The 23,047-nt window shown below is 41.3% G+C and overlaps 1 pseudogene, besides 2 other annotated features; it reads left to right on the top strand.

The window, feature by feature from the left end:
* Nucleotides 11,955-12,249: a silencer, noted in NCBI's record as "tiled region #2578; K562 Repressive non-DNase unmatched - State 24:Quies". NCBI's record gives its function as "represses a minimal TATA promoter and a strong SV40 promoter by Sharpr-MPRA in K562 cells {active_cell/tissue: K562}" and the evidence as "EXISTENCE:reporter gene assay evidence [ECO:0000049][PMID:27701403]".
* On the top strand, nucleotides 15,923-16,413 carry RPS25P4 (ribosomal protein S25 pseudogene 4; annotated as a pseudogene).
* Nucleotides 17,351-17,854: an enhancer, noted in NCBI's record as "H3K27ac-H3K4me1 hESC enhancer chr3:53507244-53507747 (GRCh37/hg19 assembly coordinates)". NCBI's record gives its function as "activates a minimal SCP1, AML or CMV promoter by ChIP-STARR-seq in naive H9 embryonic stem cells {active_cell/tissue: H9 hESC(naive)}" and the evidence as "EXISTENCE:reporter gene assay evidence [ECO:0000049][PMID:30033119]".

The following is a 23,047-nucleotide window of genomic DNA, read 5'->3' as shown; positions in this document are numbered from 1 at the left end:
TTGAGACCAGCCTGGCCAACATGGTGAAACCCCATCTCTACTAAAATTACAAAAATTAGCTGGGGATGGTGGCGTGCGCCTTAAGTCCCAGCTACGTGGGTGGCTGAGGCAGAAGAATCACTTCAACCTGGGAGGTGGAGGTTGCAGTGAGCAGAGATTGTGCCACTGCACTCCAGCTTGGGCAACGGAGCAAAACTCTAAAAAAAAAAAAAAACAAAACTCATTTTACAGACAACAAAACCAAGACACTGAGGAGTTAAGTAGCTCGCCCAAAACCACACACAATTACTTAGTAGCTGAGCCAACAAGACATGAGGAAAGGCTAAAACAAAAGATTTCAGCTCTAAATCAGCTACATGTGCTACAACCCAATTATGTTGCTAACACACTATTGTGGGGTCTTAATCTCCATGACCTTATTTATAAAGCACTCCCACTTGAACGCACTGAGCTGGCATGCCAGACATGATTACCTGCGTGCACTGCATTTCAAAAAACCTTGCTGATGGCCCAGTCCAGAACCTCACCATCTCACACCCCAGGTCATGCACAAGATGCCCATTCTCCATTTTTCCTCCCACAAATAATCCATCTTGTTCAAAACACACCATGTCACTTCCCTGACCAAAAAATGTTTTCTTCCTCCTTCCTTCCACATTCAACCTAAACTCCTCTGACTAGCGTTCAACCTTATCATCTCGCACCATTCACTTTAAACTGTGGTCAGCAGTCTCATTAGACTGTGAACATGCTGTGCTCATTTCTGACTCTCTGCTTTGGCTCCTGTTTATTCGCTGACCAGGAATCCCTACCTTGTTGACTTGCTGACCTCTCACTAACCCCTCTCCATTGAAAAAGCCTCGGTCAAGTCTCTGCCTCCTCCAGAAGACTTCTCTGATTGCTACTGCTGCTATGGACACTCGTGTGCCCCCACCCCCACCTCCCCTTCCCTAAAGGCCTGCAGCACCTGGCTTCCCCTTTGATGACATACATTCTTGTGTCTTGTGTGATTGCTTCTTGGCTATAAATCCTGTCTCTCCAACCACCGTGTGGGTCCTTAAGCAAGGATCACCTCCTTAACCCCCTCTCCCTGCTGCTAAGTGTTATGCTCACAGCGGGCACTAAATACTCTGATTAGTCTGCACAGGATCATAAAAGCCCACATAGATCACCAGAAATTGTCAGCTGATATTTACAAAAATCCCATAAAGTTTATGGTAGCACACTTGGCCCTTAGATGGTAAAAATATAAAACAGAGGGAAAATTGGGTCCTTTGCACACCAGGAATTCTAATTAAGGAAGATAAACAGATCCTGAAGGCTATATGCAGAACATATCCTTAAACAAACTGTGTAGTTGGGTTTGAATGAGTTCCTCCATCCACAGGCCCTGGTGCTAAGAGGGGATAGCCCTGACCCACTAACCACCAGAACAGGCGGATTAAGCGGGTGGGGACATGTGTTCCAGGTAGAGGAATGAATGGGATGCACAAAGTCAGGCTGAGAAGTCCAGAGTACATGCAGAAATTAATAAGTAAATGGTTAGGCTGGGACCTAGGGGGACTTAAGAGATAGTGGTGATAAGGAAGATTGCAAAGGCAGCACAGAGTAAGTAGTGTCAGGTCCCTAGTGTCTGGCTCAGCAGTCTAGGTGTTACCCTGCCCCAGCAGTTCTGATTTTTTTTTTTTTTAAATCTCAGACCTCTTTAGACTCCTAACAATTATAAAGAGCTTTTTGTTTCTGTTTTTGTTTTTCAGAGACAGGGTCTCACTGTCACCCAGGCTGGAGTGTAGTGGCACAGTCACAGCTCACTGCAACCTTTTTTAAAATTTTTTTGTAGAGATGGGGGTCTCGCTTTGTCAAATGATTCTCCTGCCTCAGCCTCCCAAAGTGCTGGGGTTACAGGGATGAGCCACTGCACTCGGCTTAGAACATTTTTTAAATCATTTATAATTCACTTGAAAATAGTCACAAGCCCATTACGTGTTCTAACATACTTTTAAAAATGAAAAGTAACTGTTTTCCAGAACAAAATGGTGAGAAGAGTGGTGTTCTTATTGTTTGCAAATCTCTTCACTGTCTGGCTGAAGACAGCTGGATTCTCCTTTGTGCTCCTGCATTCAATCAGTAGTGATAGAATGTTTGGACTGAAGTATGTGAAGAGTATTCAGCCTCACACAGGTATATAGCTGGAAATAGGAGGACTGTTTTAATCGCCTTTTCAGATAATCGTGGATATTATTCTTTGCCATGACACCAAAACTTGACTTTTAAAAGTTAGTTGAAATGTGTTATTTCAAACCATGTCAGTGAAACTTTCTACAATGTTACATTAAATTCTATCAGTCTATTTCACAGTTTGAATGGATCTTTTACCCATGCATGATTTGGTAACATTATGCATTGGTCATTTGGAAAATCCTGGTTCACTGAGTTACACAGGTTTTCCAAATGTTGACACGTTTCATTATACAATATCAAAAAGCCACATTCATTGTTATCACCACCAATCTCATCAGAAAGTCTTTAAGTATTGGGAAACTGTCAAGCTCCCTGTGGTAGACAGAAGTTTTTCAAAATTCTAATTTTCACTTGAAAGCTGAAATTTTGTAATTGGCACAAATACTGTCAAGATTTTCTTTAAAGTAACAGGCTTACTTCATTCATTTTCAAGAAAATAACTGCCAAATACTTAGGTCTGAATAAACATAGTTTTTCAGTAAAAATGGTGTTCCATGAAAAAGCCATTCAGCTTCCTACCTCAAACCATCACACAAGTGAGGAAATCATATACAGCAGAAATGTTTTATGCATTTGTCCTAATTTGTTACTCAGAATATTAAAAAGACATCTACCCAAGGATTAAGATTTAATAAAGTTAATTATTTTTACTGCTTCATCAAGGAGATTATTAAGTAAAACTGGCTTTTTTTTTTTTTTTACAGTGAGTGCATGACAGAATAAGGCAGCATCCACCAGTACACTTTGGTGTCACTGCCCTGATTCATGCTAAGACACCAGCAGTTTTAAACACTGTTGATTTTGTACCATCAGTGCAATGTCAACACATTAGGGAAGACAAATAAGTCTTAATGTTACCGTGAAAATAGTCTTGACCTCAAAGAGAGGGCCTTTTGGTCCCCCAGGTAGGGTTACCAGATAAAATACAGGATGTCCAAATATTGCATGGGGCATACTTACACTAAAAAAAAAAAAAAAAAAAAAAAAAAAAAAAAAAAAAAGCTGTTTATTTGAAACTGAAATTTCCTTGGGCTTTCTGTATTTTTATTTGCCACAATTGGCCACCTTACCTCTGGGGGTCCATAGACCACACTTTGAAAACAGCTGCTCAGGCTGCTTTGGTTCATTTTTGAGCAGAGGAATGGAATCAGTCGTACTTCATGAAAATAGCTCTAACCTTAGTGGGCAAGGTAGATCAGAGGATGAAAAGATTTGTAGAGCACAGAAAGGTCTGATGGATCCATTAAGAAGATGTCACTTTTTGTCTTAATCAATACAAGATTTGTTGATGAATTTCTTTAGTTACTGTGAGGGGCGGCGCTACTCTGAGATTGGGCAGGGAAAACAGGAAGCCAGCAGAGGGCAGCTTACTGTCTAGTGAGGTCCCCTACCCCATGGTGCTAACTCGCTACTCTCCCCATCCACCGCCATACCCCACCACCATCAGGACTTCTCCATTACAACTGACTTAGGCCTCACCCAGCAAAATTTAAAGTCCTTTCTTCTTGCTTTGGCCTCATTGCATGGAGTCCAGCTGGTCTTTATCCTTCATCAAGTGACTGTTCACTCGAAGAATAGGATTTACATTTCACATCAGACAAAGTAATTCCAATTCCTTTAACTGGTTCATTCCCATCCCCTTTGACCCAATTCTTAAATCTTATCCATCACTCTCTGATGCACCAAGTACTCTCCACTTCCAGAGTTGGGAAATCCTGGCAGAGTCTAGAATATGCAGTCAACACCCCATTATCCATGCTGACTGAAAGGAGGGAATAAGTCTGAAGTTTCCCATCTGTGAAATAAACTGGTTATATAACATGATCCCTAAGAGTTCTTCACATTCTAGGATGGCGTACTGGAGAGCCTAGACTTTGGAGACACATAGAACTGGGCCCAAATCCTGGCTCTGCCAGCTACTAGCTATGTTGTTTGGGGGATGTCACTTACCCTCTTAGGGCCTCAGTTTCCTCACCTTTAAAACAGGGATAATATCACCCATCTTGTTTATGTATTGCAAACATTTAAAATACTGTTTCAGAGCTTCTGACACATACCATCAAGTTAAATCATATAACTCATGTGAATTTAAATATACTCAGTTACAGAGGGACGGAGGGAGCCACTTAAGTGGTGCTGGCAGGAGTCTGTCCTTCCTTTGATTGGTCTTAGTTTTTACCTTTATGTCCTGACTTTAGAACTTAACTCACCACCTCAATTAAAATATTAGGTCGGTGCAATTACTTTTGCACCGACCTAATACAATCCACTGTAATGGCTCTCCTTTTTCTTAAGTGCATTCTGTCGTTCAAATACAGTCCCAAAGCAACTGAACACAGTGGTTTTTTTTAATAGTCTTTGAATTTTGCTTAATTTTAATTTCTGTTATTTAGTATTTAAGATTCAGTAATCAATGCTGACAACCCCAAAGCAGGACAGAGATCATAGTGAAATAGCTATTTACACACATGCACATAAATGCAGCCCCATGGCTCATGCTGAATGTAATTATAGGCATACACACACCCCACACAACACTGGTTTCAGTCAACACCACTACACAGCTATCTCCAGGTTAAAAGCATAAGCTAGCTACCGGAAATAAAACTGGTATAGTCACACACTGCAATGAAAAAATCACACAGATCTGCATCCAATCAACCACAGGAGCAAATTTATGAGGACAGGAAGTTGTTAGGGAGATCCAGAAAGTCAATAAACGTCAGAAATTTTATAGTTCAAACATTACAGTTACATTTTTGTTTCTTCAGAGCAGTTGTTTAAATATTTAATTCACAAAACAAAACTGAAGTTTAAATGGCACCAGTGTCTCTCCGACTTGGCACCTACCATGTATGTGGACCTGTTTACCTTTCTTACTACTTAAAAAAAAAAAAACACTAAGTCACAAATCCTTAATACTGACATAAGCTTGTTAAACAGGACTTTGGAGGATCATTAAATAGGAAATCATTAAAAATATTGACCTTTTGTAATCCCAGTTTTCTAATAAGACCCTTTGAAATAAGCACCACCCCTCTATTCCCTTTGATTAACACAGTAGAGAGGACTTAGCCACTTCAGTAGTTCTCTTTCTGTTTGACAAAAATGCAATATGAAAATGCAGTGACCTCTTGCAGCTTCATGCTTATGGTTTAAAATGGATGCTAAAAATTGGAATTGGACTGTGGGTTTGAAAGTTTGGTAAAATAGCCAAACTTTATATTTCCTAGGTTATTGGAACAAACACACAGAGGAAAAAGTACTTTTTAAAAGGTTCTAATTCGAGAAATTTTTGAAGAGGAAGGTTATGGGATCCAAAACTACTTATTTGAAGAAGAATCATTATACAAACTTAGATAACTCACTAAAAATTATCTGTTTCGTGTCCTAATAACCAGGTTGGCATGGTATTGCATCCAGAAATATGGAACTTTCCATTTTTCTGTTTTATCTTTTTTATGTTCCTATTTTTAATGTGTGTTTATAATACACTGAAAAATCTCAGTCAATCACATATTGAGCAAAATAATCACCATGGCAGGGAGACACACATGGTAGACTTTATTGTCAACATGTCTATAAAACTGAATAAATATTTGTTAGTGTTCCATTGTGATAAATACAAGGAACACGTGAGGCTGAAAGGGAACAGTGTCAAGAACACCATAATTTTTCAAAACCTGACATGACTTTAATGGCAATTAACAAAGAATGCCAGGGTGTATGGGAGAGTTTTTGCAAACACACTACATCACAAACAGACTAGACTTTTAATGATGTGACAGAATAGCCAAAAGATAGAAGATTGGACATCTTGTCCCAGGAAGCTAAATATCTAAGTGGTATAAAAAGGTCTTTCAGGATTCTGAACTTTCTACCCATAGCTTGCCTCCCTTCCCTTCAGCAGGCCACTTCTTGGCTTCCTTTCCCAGCTCCTTGGGCCTAACTGGGTTCCTTTCATCACCCATAGACCTTTCTTCTTGGAAGTTTCTTCCCTCTAGTCCCTTTACTTCCTCCTCTAAATACTTCTTCATGAATCTCCAAAGTGCCCCAATTATTATAGCTCACCAGAGACAGCTAAAGGCAAGGTCATCATCCTGAGGAAGATTTAACAAGACGAGGCAGAAGATCAAGGTTCTCTTCCTGGCCACACTTAGTTGACATCCTAGAACTCTGCAGTGGTACAATTTAGAACTAGAATAATGGCCAGGTGTGGTGGTTCACTCGTGCAATCCTAGTACTTGGGGAGGCCAAGGTGGGAGGATCACTTGAGGCTAGGAGTTCAAAACCAGCCTGGGCAATATAGTGAGACTCTGTCTCTATGAGAGACACCTGTCTCTCTCTAGAGAGAGAGCAAGGTGTGGAGGCATGGTGGTGCATGCCTCTAGTCCCAGCTACTCAGGAAGCTGAGGCAAGAGGATTGCTTGAGCCCAGGAGGTCAAGGCTGCAGTGAGCTATGATCACGCCACTGCACTCTAGCCTGGGAAACAGAGCAAGACTCTATTTCCAAATCCATAATAAACCACAAGACCCATGGTTTTCAGTGTAGTTGCCCCGACAGCAGCAGCTGCATCATCTGAGAACTTGATAGAAATCCAGATTCTCCAACTCACCTCAGACCTACTGAATCAGAAACTCTAGAGGTGGGGCCCAGTAATCTGTCTCAGCAAACCCTCCAAGTGATTCTGATTCATTCTAAAGTTTGAAGACATTGCACTGTACAGATGAATTGCTTTTTGTAAGATTTCTTCTGGTTGTAGCTTTCTGTGATTCTGAATAGATTCTGGCAGCATAAGGAATGTTAATGCCCTTGTGTTTCAATAGTACTTATGTGAAAAGCACAATAGCTTATTCTCTTCTGTTCTTTTCTTGATTCTCATAAAATCCCTGCAAAGTAATGCAACTGGATCTGTTTCACAGAATCTCATAGGACTTATCACGTAAATAATACAATTTATGACAGCTTTGAGGGCTGGAAAATATTCCGCCTCAAAGCTAGCCCAATGACCTGATGGAAGACTGTGTATTATGGTTTCAAGGATGCCAGAAAGATCAAATTCTACACTTTTCCACCCAGTTCACTGATGCCAGAAATTCCAACGTCATAGCTTAAAGCTCCAGTCCTCCATCTGAAATGCAAATATCCCTGGAATATCATAACAAGCCCTTTACTTCTCAGGTAAGAGATGGAAGAAAGAGGATATGAGCACCTTGTTCTCAGGAAGTGGAATGTCTACACCTGCTTTCAGAAGACTACTCCAAAGGGAATATCTAGGGTCACTATATGCAACTTTGCTTTCTGCATAATTTTGCCAAGGGCCAGGTGTGCACACATAACCAGGTGTACAATATAGGTGCATAAAAACCTTAAGGATTGACTGTGGAGGCTGAAGGAGGAAGAATGAGTAGACCTTAACAGAGATAGAAGTAAATGGGCAGATTCCTGCCTTTTGGTACACTAGGAAAGATAAAAACCCTCACCCCCAATCCCCACCCTCCTAACCATACCCCCACCACCAAATTAACATGGAAATAGATCAATAGATCTTCCAATTGTATTTGGTTCTCTTCTTCCTCACCTGTCTATACATCCTTTCTTTAAAAAGTATTATATTTGTATTGTACCTTATAGTTTGCAAAGCACTCTCACATACAATATTCATTTGCTCACTACAGCCCTGTGAAAAAGACAAAATTCTTCATTTACTAAGGAGGAAACCTGGGCTTGGCTACTGCCAATACATGGCAGAACTAAGATTTGAATCCTGGTTTTCCAATTCCAAGCCTACTTCTTTCATCTGTGTGCATTTTCATTTTTAATTTAATTTTTTTTTTTAGAGACAGTGTCTCACTCTATCACCTAGGCTATTGTGCAAAGGCATGATCCTGGCTCACTTCAGCCTCAACCTCCTGGGCTCAAGCAATCCTCCTGCCTCAGCCTCCTGCGTAGGTAGGACAATAGGAGCATGCCACCACACTCAGCTAATTTTTTAATTTTTATTTTTGTAGAGACAGGGTCTCACTATGTTTCACAGACTTGTCTTGAACTCCTGGTCTCAAGCGATCCTCCCACCTTGTCCTCTCAAAGTGCTGGGATTACAGGCATAAGCCACTGCACCTGGCCCCAGTGTGTATTTTCAATCTGGTTTGCACCCAACTGCAGGGATGAACCATGCATTAATGCTCAACTCCCATACTCCCTTAAAAAGAAGGTTATCAGGGATCCAGAGCCCCGGCATAGAGTGTGAATCCCAGGCTCCCATCATTCAAGCAGGTTCCCAATTTGCTGCCACTGTTTACCTCCTCCCTGCTTTTAGAGCACAAGAGCTTAATGACTTCACAGATGGGCAACATTGTCAGCCATGGAAAAGACATTCTGCTACACATAATTGTACTTTGAAAATATCACTGTGGAAGTGTGTGGATGAGTCACAGTGTTGGCAGGGGAACTTCACATAGGCCAGGCCCTCTGGTAATGAGCCCCACAGGGCTCTGAAGGTGGCCCAGGCCATGGTCCTTCACAGACTCTAAGCAGAGGATTGCTATGGCCAAGGTGAAAAGACATCCCTTGCTCTATCACTAAGGCCAGTACACTTGGTTCATGCATAGACATTTAGCCTAAAGTTATCTAAAATTCCTTCCAAGCCTACGATTCTAATTTATACACAACAAAAGCCTTTATTCTGTTATCCGGTTGTCTTGTACCATTTATATGACTCCAGCTTCCACCTTGGTGATAATAAATTACAAGTTCAAATTTCCAGTCCTGCCCTTTAACCAAAGCTCAGTGCCACATCAACTAATTCCTGGTAGATGTTGCCACCATCAAATTTCAGTGAAAATGTCTAAAACCAAATTCACTTCTCATTATCCTCTACAAACCAGCTCCCCATAGCAACTTCTAGCACAGCCATTTTCTCAACTCTCAGGACTCAACATGATGGAGCTGTCTTCTTCACTATGCACATTTGGTTCGTTGCTATTAATTTCTGTTTCCTGAGTACACTCTTCATACTGCTGCCTATCTGATCTTTATTAAATGTTCTTCTGTGAACCGACATTGTCATTCTTGCTTTATAACCATGAGAACAGTAGTTCTCAGCCCTGGCTACAGGTTAGAGCTTCTTAAAACTTCCAGTGCCCAAGCCCCATCCCTAGAAAATTCTGATTCAGGGGGCCTGGGGTGGGGCCCAGTGATCAGTACCACTGAGAACAAATGTCCTGAACTATAGCACTTTTCAGACTTCAAGGGGTATGAAGTCACCTTTGGATCTTGTTAAAATGCAGATGTGGATTCAGCAGGGCTGAGCTGGGCCTGAGATTCAGCATTTCTTTTTGTTTGTTTGTTTTTAGACGGAGTCTCGCTCTGTCACCCAGGCTGGAGTGCAGTGGCGTGATCTCGGCTCACTGCAAGCTCTGCCTGCGGGGTTCACGCCATTCTCCTGCCTCAGCCTCCTGAGTAGCTGGGACTACAGGCGCCCGCCACCACGCCCAGCTAATTTTTTGTAATTTTTTTTAGTAGAGACAGGGTTTCGCCGTGTTAGCCAGGATGGTCTCGATCTCCTGACCTCGTGATCCACTCACCTCGGCCTCCCAAAGTGCTGGGATTACAGGCGTGAGGCACCGCACCCGGCCCAGCATTTCTTTTTTGTTTGTTTTTATTTTTTATTTTTGAGACAGGGTCTTGCTCTGTCCCTCAGGCTGGAATGCAGTGGTGCGATCTCGGCTCACTGCAACCTTCGCCTCCCAGATTCAAGCGATTCTCCTGCCTCAGCCTCCCGAGCAGCTGGGATTACAGGTGTGTGCCACCACACCTGGCTAATTTTTGTACTTTTAGTAGAAGTGGGGTTTCATCATGTTGGCCAGTCTGGCCTTGAACTCCTGACCTCAAGTGATACACCTGCCTCGGCCTCCCAAAGTGCTGGGATTACAGGCGTGAGCCACCGCGTCCGGCTAAGATTCTGCATTTCTAACATGCTCCCAGGTGATGTTGATGTTTCTAGTTCCCACGCCACACTTTGGGTATCAGGGTCCTAGAGCATCAAGTCTAATCTCCCATTCTGCCTGGTTTTAAGGCCCTGGCCTCATTTCCTGGTGCTTCCTTCTCTCACCAGGCCAGCTCCTGACACATCCAGACACAGACCCTTCCTCTCCATCCTGGTTTACTTGGAATGCCTGACTCCCTTCTCTCTGCCTGGTGAGAATTCTCTGCATCCTCACCCCTCCATCAGGACCCAAAGGGCCCAAGCCTTTATCTACCATTTAGTCTTCCCCAACCACTCCATGGTTTATTAATCCCTTTTTCCTCTAATCTCCCAGCGCTATAGAAAGTACAGTGATCCTCCCATCATGTACTAAGCTCTGCAGCTGACAGCAGAAAGAAAACTGGACCAAAAGAGATAGGGAAACTGGGCACATCTTGTAACTGCTAGCAAGTCATTTTCCCTTTCTAAAAAATAAAATAAAATAAAATAAAATAAAATAAAATAAAAAGCTCCTCAGAAACTTGGTCCAGCAGAATGATCCTAGGGACATGGGAGGCAAATCGTAATAAACAAATTGCAGACATGTCAGCAACTGAAGCTATTCCTAAGAACATTCAAGTGAAGAGAAACTTAAGAGATCACTTGGTCTCACCATCCCTCTCTCCCTAGATTTTTCTGGTAGAAGCTGAAGCCCTGACAAGAGAAAGAGCTTCCTCAGATACCCAATTAATCAATAGCAGGTTCAGGACCAAAGTCCATATTTCTCAGTTTTTGTTTTGTTTGGTTTTGTTTTCTTTTGAGACAGAGTCTCGCTCTGTCACCTAGGCTGGAGTGCAGTGGCATGAATTCAGCTCACTGCAACCTCTGCCTCCGAGTTAAGCAATTCTCGTGCCTCAGCCTCCCGAGTAGCTGGGATTACAGGTGCACACCACCATGCCCAGCTAATTTTTTGTATTTTTAGTAGAGACGGGGTTTCGCCATGTTGCCTAGGCTGGTCTCGAACTCCTGAGCTCAGGCAATCTGCCCACCTCTGCCTCCCAAAGTGCTAGGATTACAGGCATGAGCTACCGTGCCAGGCCATATTTCTGAGTTTTTTATCCTTCCAGATGTAGCAACTTCCTAAATGTTTAAGGGGAGCCACCACTGCATCAAGCAGACAATGTGCTGATGCACTATGATTAGTAGGGCTGGATATAAACCTCAGGAAACATTTAATGGCAAGATGTTATAAGAGGGCAATCTACAAGGCAGGACACCCTGTCCATAGCAGAATCTTCTTGCCTTCCACCAGAGACCAGGCCCTACAATCCCATGTAAGACTCCTGATTATCCTGCTGAAGCAAAGTTCACCTTTTTACCCCTGGCATCAAGGTCCTCTGCAATCTGGCCCTAACCTAGCCTTCCAGCATCCCTCCCTGCTGGAACTTTCCACTCAGACTCACTGTTTCTCACACATACCTTATGCCATTGCTAATTCTTAAGCCACCAGATTGCTTCTTGGGCACATGAGTCCATGTGGACACGGTTAAATCTCCTGCATGCCTTTTGATATCTTGACGTTTGGAATTGAGCTGGGCAATTGCTCAATGTGAACAATGATTCTACACTTTAAGGAACTGGGGACATGATCTTTCCAAGATAAAAGGGCTTTTCTTTCTTTTCTGGTCTCCTAATGCCACCTCAGGTCACGTTCCACTGTGTGGAGCCCAGACAATTATCATGCTGTGGCCAGAGATGTTTAATTGGACTTTAAAAGATGAGAAAGCAGCAGGGAGCTGATTGTCAGCTCTCTGACAAGACTGTGCCGCATAGGTGGCCAGCAGCACAGAGGAGGGCTGGCCTGCCCAGTGTCATGACTGTCTCCACCCCTGGGGCAGTGAGGTTAGGAGAGAAGGGCAAGATGTAGCAGTGGCAGGACAGCCTTCAGCAGACTCAGTGCCAGATTGTCCTATATCCCGTTTCTACCCCAAGAACTGTGCTCACTCAGGGGGCAACAAAGACTTCTTTTTTAAAATTACCCTTCTTCTTAAGACAAACTTCTCTAACCCTTCATAGTAATAATTTATTTTTATAATGGGTTTTCATCTCCATGCAACCCTTTAAGCCTCTGAGGTAGGTCAGGGAAAATATTAACACTTCCAGTTCATAAAGGAGTAAACTAGATTCATTATGCTGGGATGTGAGTTTGCCAAGGTTATGCAACTAGTAAATGGTTAAGCCAGAACTGCAGATCAGCTGTCAAAGATCACTGATGCAACAGCAGATAAAAGCCATTTCAAACAGGACAAGTATACTACTCCACCTCCTGCTTCTTAATGCTATTCCCTGAAGAAAAAAGATCCCTTTGTTCTGACAAGTGTGTGGAGAGCAGACTATGCCCTAAAGGCTAATTAAAAAACAGAGGTTCCCACATCCACCCTCCATCCTGGGATTGGACTGGCAGAGACTACACAGAAACACAGACATTTCCAGACAACACAAGGCTATCTATGTGCTCCACTGCATCTAGGCACTGGGGAGTTCCTAGGTCCATGAGAAAGCTGAGAAAGCTACTGGCTAAGGAAGAGAACCCCTGGGTGCTGCTCTGAACAGACGTCATGCAGTGTGGCCATGAACCCAGATCACCTGACTCATTGTCAAGATGAACAGGGCTCTGGCAGGTCAGATCTGCCACTGGATATGTGAAGGGATTCTTTCCCATTATTTTTCTTTTTTCTTTTCTTTTCTTTTTTTTTTTTTTTTTTTTTTTTTTGAGACAGGGTCTCATTCTGTTGCCCAGGCTGGAGTGCAGTGGCAAAATCATAGCTCACTGCAACCTCAAACTCCCAGGCTCAAGTGATCCTCCCACCTCAGCCTCCCATGTAGCTAGGACTCCAGCCACACACTACCACTCCCAGTATTTTTTGTGTGTGTTTTTTTTTTTGTAGAGACAGGGTCTCCTTATATTGCCCAGGCTGGTCTTGGACTCCTGGCCTCAAGTGGTCCTCCTGCCTGGGCCTCCCAAAGTATTAGGATTACAGGTATAAGCCACCACACCTGGCCTCACATTATTTTCCTCAGAAAGATCTGAAATAGGAGAAAACTTTGAAAATTAACGTATTTTCCTTCTCTTGAACTTTAAAGCTGCCACAGCCCTCACCCTCAATTGTAAAGGCTTGAGGATGTTTTCCGGAAACTATGGAGAGTAGTTTAAATTTTCAACCCTTTAAAAAGTTGAAAGCTATCCTTTCAACACTGCCTGTGAACAAGTTTTCATTTTTCTTTCAGTAGAATCTACAAATCACTAAAAAAAATATAGAGGGCATTTCCCCAAGCAATATAGAGGGCAATAAAAAGGATTCCCTATTTAATAAATGGTGTTGGGAAAACTGGCTAGCCATATGCAGAAAGCTGACACTGGACCCCTTCCTTACACCTTATAAAAAAATTAACTCAAGATGGATTAAAGACTTAAACATAAGACCTAAAACCATAAAAACCCTAGAAGAAAACCTAGACAATACCATTCAGGACATAGGCATGGGCAAAGACTTCATGACTAAAACAACAAAAGCAATGGCAACAAAAGCCAAAATTGACAAATGGGATCTAATCAAACTCAAGAGCTTCTGCACAGCAAAAGAAACTGTCATCAGAGTAAACAGGTAACCTACAGAATGGGAGAAAATTTTTGCAATCTACCCATCTGACAAAGGGCTAACATCCAGAATCTATAAAGAACTTAAACAAATTTAAAAGACAAAAACAAACAACCCCATCAAAAAGTGGGTGAAGGATATGAACAGACACTTCTCAAAAGAAGACATTTATGCAGCCAACAAACATATGGAAAAAAGCTCATCATCACTGGTCATTAGAGAAATGCAAATCAAAACCACAATGAGATACCATCTCACGGCCAGTTACAATGGCGATCATTAAAAAGTCAGGAAGCAACAGGTGCTGGAGAGGATGTGGAGAAATACGAATGCTTTTACACTGTTGGTGGGAGTGAAAATTAGTTCAACCATTGTGGAAGACAGTGTGGTGATTCCTCAAGGATCTAGAACTAGAAATACCATTTGACCCAGCAATCCCATTACCGGGTATATATCCAAAGGATTATAAATTATTCTACTACAAATACACATGCACACATGTTTATTGCAGCACTGTTCATAATAGAACATAAAGACTTGGAACCAACCCAAATCCCCATCAATGATAAACTGGATAAAGAAAATGTGGCACATATACACCATGGAATACTATGCAGCCATAAAAAAGGATGTCCTTTGCAGGGACATGGATGGAGCTGGAAACCATCATTCTCAGCAAACTAACACAGGAACAGAAAACCAAACACCGCATGTTCTCACTCATAAGTGGGAGTTGAACAATGAGAACACATGGACACAGGGGGAAGGGGATCACATACCGGGGCCTGCCAGGGAGTGGGGGGCTCAGGGAGGGATAGCATTAGGAGAAATACCTAATGTAGATGACAGGTTGATGGGTGCAGCAAACCAACATGGCATGTGTATACCTATGTAACAAACCTGCACGTTCTGCACATGTACCCTAGAACTTAAAATATTAAAAAAAATTATTTTAACCCCAAAAGTAACCACTAAAAATATGCAAAGAGCTATAGCTAAAAATTAAAATGAAATACTAAACCATATTAATTCCCAAAAAAGGCAAGAAAAGTGGAACCAAGAAACAAGTCATATCAGAAAAATAGAAAACAAATAAAAGTGAGAGAACTAAATCCAACCATATCAATAATTATCTTAAATGTAGATTGACTAAATGCTATAAGAAAAAGAAATAGATTGTTTATAGTAGATAAAAGTTATGATCCAACTATATGTTATCTACAAGAGATACATTAAATACAAAGACACATATAGGTTTAAAACTTAAAAATTTTAAAAGAAATATCATGCAAGCACTAATCATAGGAAATATGGAATGGCTAGATTAATATCAGTCAAAATAGACTTCAGGATAAGAAAGATTACCAAAAATAAAGAACAATATTTCGTAATGATAAAAGGGTCATTTCATCAAAAGGCATAGCAATTATAAATGTGTGTTTAATAACAGCTTCAAAATGCATAAAGCAAAAACTGAAAGAGCTAAAGGGAGAAATAAACAAATCCACAATCATAGTTAGAGATGTTAACACCCCTCTCTCAGTAATTGACAAAACAACTAGATTATTAAAAATCAAAAATGATGTAGAATATCTCAACAATGCTATCAATCACCTTAACCTAATTGACATTTATAGAACACTAGGCCAGATGTGGTGGCTCATGCCTATAATCCCAGAGTTTTCAGAGGCCAAGGTAGGAGGATCACTTAAGGCCAGGAGCTGGAGACCAGCATGGGCAACATATCAAGACCCCATCTCTATTAAAAAATTAGCTGGGCATAGTGGAACATACCTGTAGTCCCATCTATTTGGGAGGCTGAGCACACCACTGCACTCCAGCCTGAGTGACAGAGCAAGACTGTCTCTAAAAAAACTAGAACAAATAAATAAATAAAATAGAACACTAAACTCAACAACCACAGAATATACATTGTTTTCTAACCACGCTGAAATTAAATTAGAAATCAATAACAAAAAGATATCTATTACAGCCCCCCAAATATTTGAAAATTAAACAACACATTTTCAAATAACCTGTGCATCAAAGAAATCACTTTTCGTCTGACATCTCAGCAAGGCTGCAGCGATTGCCGCTGCTCTGCAAGCTTCACAATGCCATCCGAGGACAACAAGAGGAAAGACCCCGGGAAGTTGGCCAAAAAAGACAAAAACCCAGTGAACAAATCCAGGGGCAAAGCCAAAAAGGAGTGGTCCAAAGGCAAAATTTGGGATAAGCTCAATAACCAAGTCTTGTTTGACAATGCTACTGTAAGGAAGCTTTGTATGACAAACTCTGTAAGGAAGTTTCCAGCTATAGGTTTATAACCCCAGCTGTGGTCTCTCAGAGATTGGAGATTCGAGGCTCCCTGGCCAGGGCAGCCCTACAGGAGCTCCTTGGCAAAGGACTTATCAAACTGGTTTCAAAACACAGAGCTCGAGTCATTTACACCAGAAATACCAAAAGTGGAGATGCCACAACTGCTGGTGAAGATGCATGAACAGGTCCAACTGACTGTACATTTGGAAAAACAAAACTTTATTAAATAAAAAAAAGAAATCACAGGGAAATTAGAAAATATTTTTGAACTGAATGAAATTAAAACATATCAAATTTTATGGGATGCAGCACTGCAGTGCCTAGAGGGAAATTTTTAGTGTCTATTGCTTATATTAGGAAAGAAGAAAGATTTAAAATCAATTATTTTAAGTTTCTATTTTAAGAAGTTAAAAAAAGAAGAGCAAATTAAACCCAAAATCTGTGAACGGAGAGAAATCATAAATATAAAGCAGAAATCAAGAAACTAGAAAACAAAGAGTATACAAAAATAACAAATCCAAACGTTGGTTTTTGAAACATTTAATGGAATCAGTAAACTCCTGGTTAGGATGATCAAGAAGAAAGGAAAACAAAAGCTGTTACTACTACAAATGAAAGAAAGGATAGATCCTACAAATATTAAAAGGCTAACACTGAAATAGTATGAAGTGTATTATGGCAAAAAATTAACACCTTAGATTAAAGGAAACAAATTTCTAAAAGAACAAACTTACTAAAACTGACCTAAAATCATATTGAAATTTTTAATACCCTGTATGTTTTTTAAAAATGAAAGTATTATGAGACTTTCCAAGATGGCCGAATAGGAACAGCTTCAGTCTGCAACTCCCAGCGTGATCGACACAGAAGATGGGTGATTTCTACGTTTCCAACTGAGGTACCTGGTTCATCTCATTGGGACTGGTTGGACAGTGGGTGCAGCCCATGGAGGACAAGCTGAAGCAGGGCAGGCATCGCCTCACCTGGGAAGCACAAGGGGTCAGGGATTTCCCTTTCCTAGCCAAGAGACGCTGTGACACACTACTTGGAAAAATGGGACACTCCCACCCAAAGACTGTGGACTTTTCCCAAGGTCTTAGGAACCAGCAGACAAGGTGATTCTCTTCCTTGCCTGGCTCGGTGGCTGCCACCCATGGAGCCTTGCTCACTGCTAGCCCAGCAATCTGAGATCAAACTGTGAGGCAGCAGCCTGGCTGGGGGAGGGGCGTCTGCCATTGCTGAGGCCAGTAGGTAAACAAAGTGGCCAGGAAGCTTGAACTGAGTGGGGTCCACCACAGCTCAATCAGGCCTACTGGCTCTAGACTCCACCTCTGTGGGCAGGGCATAGCTGAACAAAAGGCAGCAGACAACTTCTGCAGACTTAAATATCCCTGTCTGACAGCTCAGAAGAGAGCAGTGGTTCTCTCTCACCAGCACAGTGTTTTAGCTCTGAGAACAGACAGACTGCCTCCTCAAGTGGGTCCCTGACCCCTGTGTAGCCTAACTGGGAGACACCTCCCAGTAGGGGCCAACAGACACCTCATATAGGTGGCTGTCCCTCTGGGATGAAGCTTCCAGAGGAAGGATCAGGCAGCAATATTTGCTGTTCTGCAGCCTCCACTGGTGATACCCAGGCATGCAGGGTCTGGAGTGGAACTCCAGCAAACTCCAACAGACCTGCAGCTGAGGGACCTGACTGTTAGAAGGAAAACTAACCAACAGAAAGAAACAGCATCAACATCAACAAAAAGGACATCTATACCAAAACCCCATCTGTAGGTCACCAACATCAAAGACCAACGGTAGATAAAACCACAAAGATGGGGAGAAACTGGAGCAGAAAAGCTGAAAATTCTAAAAACCAGAGTGCCTGTTCTCCTCCAAAGGACTGCAGCTCCTCACCAGCAATGGAACAAAGCTGGATAAAGAATGACTTTGACGAGTTGACAGAAGTAGGCTTCAGCAAGTCAGTAGTAACAAACTTCTCCAAGCTGAAGGAGGAGGTTTGAACCCATCACAAGGGAGCTAAAAACCTTGAAAAACAATTAGATGAATGGCTAACTAGAAAAAGGGTGTAGAGAAGACCTTAAATGACTTGATGGAGCTGAAAACCATGGCACAAGAACTTTGTGACACATGCACAAGCTTCAATAGCCGATTCGATCAAGTGGAAGAAAGGGTATCAGTGATTGAAGATCAAATGAATGAAATGAAGCAAGAAGAGAAGTTTAGAGAAAAAAGAGTAAAAAGAAACGAACAAAGCCTCCAAGAAATATGGGACTATGTGAAAAGACCAAGTCTATGTTTGATTGGTGTACCTGAAAGTGATGGGGAGAAGGGACCCAAGTTGGAAAACATTCAGGATATTATCCAGGAGAACTTCCCCAACATAGTAAGGCAGGTAAACATTCAAATTCAGGAAATACAGAGAACACCACAAAGATACTCCTCCAGAAGAACAACCCCAAGACACATAATTGTCAGATTCGCCAAGGTTGAAATGAAGGAAAAAGTGTTAAGGGCAGCCAGAGAGAAAGGTCGAGTTACCCACAAAGGGAAGCCCATCAGACTAACAGCAGATCTCTCAGCAGAAACCCTACAGCCAGGAGAGAGTGGGGGCCAATATTCAGCATTCTTAAAGAAAAGAATTTTCAACCCAGAATTTCATATCCAGCCAAACTAAGCTTCATAAGTGAAGGAGAAATAAAATCCTTTACAGACAAGCAAATGCTGAGAGATTTTGTCACCACCAGGCCTGCCTTACAAGAGCTCCTGAAGGAAGCACTAAACATGGAAAGGAACAACCAGTACCAGCCACTGCAAAAACATGCCAAATTGTAAACACCATCGATGCTACGAAGAAACCTCATCAATTAATGGGCAAAATAACCAGCAAACATCATAATGACAGGATCAAATTCACACACAACAATATTAACCTTAAATGTAAATGGGCTAAATGCCCCAATTAAAAGACACAGACCGGCAAATTGGATGAGGAGTCAAGACCCATCAGTGTGCTGTATTCAGGAGACCCATCTCACATGCAAAGATGCACATAGGCTCAAAATAAAGGGATGGAGGAAGAACTACCAAGCAAATGGAAAGCAAAAAAAAGCAGGGGTTGTAATCCTAGTCTCTGATAAAACAGACTTTAAACCAACAAAAATGAAAAGAGACAAAGAAGGCCATTACATAACGGTAAAGGGATCAATTCAACAAGAAGAGCTAACTATCCTAAATACATATGCACCCAATACAGGAGCACCCAGATTCATAAAGCAAGTCCTTAGAGACCTACAAAGAGACTTAGACTCCCACACAATAATAACAGGAGACTTTAACACCCCTCTGTCAATATTAGACAGATCAATGAGACAGAAGGTTAACAGGGATATCCAAGACCTGAACTCAGCTCTGCAACAAACAGACCTAATAGACATCTACAGAACTCTTCACCCCAAATCAACAGAATACACTTTCTTCTCAGCACCACATCGCACTTATTCTAAAATTGACCACATAATTGGAAGTAAAGCACTCCTCAGCAAATGTAAAAGAACGGAAATCACAACAAACTCTCTCTCAGACCACAGTGCAATCAAATTAGAACTCAGGATTAAGAAACTCACTCAAAAATGCACATCTACATGGAAACTGAACAACTTGCTCCTGAATGACTACTGGGTAAATAATGAAATAAAGGCAGAAATAAAGATGTTCTTTGAAACCAATGAGAACAAAGACACAACATACCAAAATCTCTGGGACACATTTAAAGCAGTGTGTACAGGGAAATTTATAGCACTAAATGCTCACAAGAGAGGGCAGGAAAGATCTAAAATCAACACCCTAACATCACAATTAAAAGAACTAGAGAAGCAAGAGCAATCAAATTCAAAAGCTAGCAGAAGACAAGAAATAACTAAGATCAGAGCAGAACTGAAAGAGATAGAGACACAATCAATTGATTCAAAAAATCAATGAATCTAGGAGCTGGCTTTTTGCAAAGATCAACAGAATTGATAGACCGCTAGCAAGACTAATAAAGAAGAAAAGAGAGAAGAATCAAACAGAGGCAATAAAAAATGATAAAGGGGACATCACCACCGATCCCAAAGAAATACAAACTACCATCAGAGAATAATATAAACACCTCTACGCAAATAAACTAGAAAATCTAGAAGAAATGGATAAATTCCTCGACACATACACCCTCCCCAGACTAAACCAGGAAGAAGTGGAATCTCTGAATAGACCAATAACAGGCTCTGAAATTGAGGCAATAATTAATAGCCTACCAACCAAAAAAACTCCAGGACCAGACAGATTCACAGCCAAATTCTACCAGCTGAAACTATTCCAATCAATAGAAAAAGAGGGAATCCTCCCTAACTCATTTTATGAGGCCAACATCATCCTGATACTAAAGCCTGGCAAAGACACAACAAAAAAAGAGAATTTTAGACCAATATCCCTGATGAACATCAATGCAAAAATCCTCAATAAAATACCGGCAAGCCGAATCCAGCTGCATGTCAAAAGGCTTATCCACCACGATCAAGTCTGCTTCATCCCTGGGATGCAAGGCTGGTTCAACATACACAAATCAATAAACGTTATCCATCACATAAACAGAACCAAAGACAGAATCCACATGGTTATCTGAATAGATGCAGAAAAGGCCTTTGACAAAATTCAACAACACTTCATGCTAAAAACTCTCAATAAATTAGGTACTGATGGAACGTATCTCAAAATAATAAGAGCTATTTATGACAAACCCACAGCCGATATCATACTGAATGGGCAAAAACAGGAAGCATTCCCTTTGAAAATCGGCACAAGACAAGGACGCCCTCTCTCACCACTCCTATTCAACATAGTGTTGGAAGTTCCGGCCACGGCAATCAGGCAGGAGAAAGAAATAAAGGGTATTCAAATAGGAAAAGAGGAAGTGAAATTGTCCCTGTTTGCAGATGACATGATTGTATATTTAGAAAACCCCATCGTCTCAGCCCAAAACCTCCTTAAGCTGATAAGCAACTTCAGCAAAGTCTCAGGATACAAAATCAATATGCAAAAATCACAAGCATTCCTATACACCATTAACAGACAAACAGAGAGCCAAATCATGAGTGAACTCCCATTCACAATTGCTACAAAGAGAATAAAATACCTAGGAATCCAACTTACAAGGGATGTGAAGGACCTCTTCAAGGAGAACTACCAACCACTGCTCAAGGAAATAAAAGATGACACAAACAAATGGAAGAATATTCTATGCTCATGGATAGGAAGAATGAATCAATATCATGAAAATGGCCATACTGCCCAAGGTAATTTATAGATTCAATGCCATCCCCTTCAAGCTACCAATGACTTTCTTCACAGAATTGGAGAAAACTACTTTAAAGTTCATATGGAACCAAAAAAGAGCCCACATTGCCAAGACAATCTTAAGCCAAAAGAACAAAGCTGGAGGCATCACGCTACCTGACTTCAAACTATACTACAAGGCTACAGTAGTCAAAACAGCATGGTACTGGTACCAAAACAGATATATAGATCAATGGAACAGAACAGAGGCCTCAGAAATAACAACACACATCTACAACCATCTGATCTTTGACAAACCTGACAGAAACAAGAAATGGAGAAAGGATTCCCTATTTAATAAATGGTGCTGGGAAAACTGGCTAGCCATATGTAGAAAGTTGAAACTGGATCCCTTCCTTACACCTTATACAAAAATTAATTCAAATGGATTAAAGACTCAAATGTTAGACCTAAAACCATAAAAACCCTAGAAGAAAACCTAGGCAATACCATTCAGGACATAGGCATGGGCAAGGACTTCATGACTAAAACAACAAAAGCAACGGCAACAAAAGCCAAAATTGACAAATGGGATCTAATTAAACTAAAGAGCTTCTGCACAGCAAAAGAAACTACCATCAGAGTGAACAGGTAACCTACAGAATGGGAGTAAAATTTTGCAATCTACCCATCTGACAAAGGTCTAATATCCAGAATCTGCAATGAACTCAAACAAATTTACAAGAAAAAAACAAACAACCCCATCAAAAAGTGGGCAAAGGATATGAACAGACACTTCTCAAAAGAAGACATCTATGCAACCAACAGACACATGAAAAAATGTTCATCATCACTGGCCATCAGAGAAATGCAAATCAAAACCACAATGAGATACCATCTCACACCAGTTAGAATGGCGATCATTAAAAAGTCAGGAAACAACAGGTGCTGGAGAGGGTGTGGAGAAATAGGAACACTTTTACACTGTTGCTGGGAGTGTAAATTATTTCAACCATTGTGGAAGATGGTGTGGTGATTCCTCAAGGATCTAGAACTAGAAATACCATTTGACCCAGCCATCCCATTACTGGGTATATACCCAAAGGATTATAAATCATGCTTCTATAAAGACACATACACACATATGTTTATTGTGGCACTATTCACAAGAGCAAAGACTTGGAACCAACCTAAATATCCAACAATGATAGACTGGATTAAGAAAATGTGGCACATATACACCATGGAATACTATGCAGCCATAAAAAAGAATGAGTTCATGTCCTTTGTAGGGACATGGATGAAGCTGGAAACCATCATTCTGAGGAAACTATCACAAGGATAGGAAACCAAACACTGTATGTTCTCACTTATAGGTGGGAATTGAACAATGAGAACACTTGGACACAGGAAGGGGAACATCACACATCAGGGCCTGTCGTGGGGTGGGAGGAGGGGGGAAGGATAGCATTAGGAGAAATACCTAATGTAAATGATGAGTTGGTGGGTGCAGCAAACCAACATGGCACATGTATACCTATG

The sequence above is a fragment of the Homo sapiens genome, chromosome 3, assembly GCF_000001405.40.
Source record: "Homo sapiens chromosome 3, GRCh38.p14 Primary Assembly".
In the NCBI taxonomy this organism is placed as follows: Eukaryota; Metazoa; Chordata; class Mammalia; order Primates; family Hominidae; genus Homo; species Homo sapiens.
The sequence above is the reverse complement of the archived record's forward strand: the minus strand, read 5'-3'. Positions and strand labels throughout refer to the sequence as shown.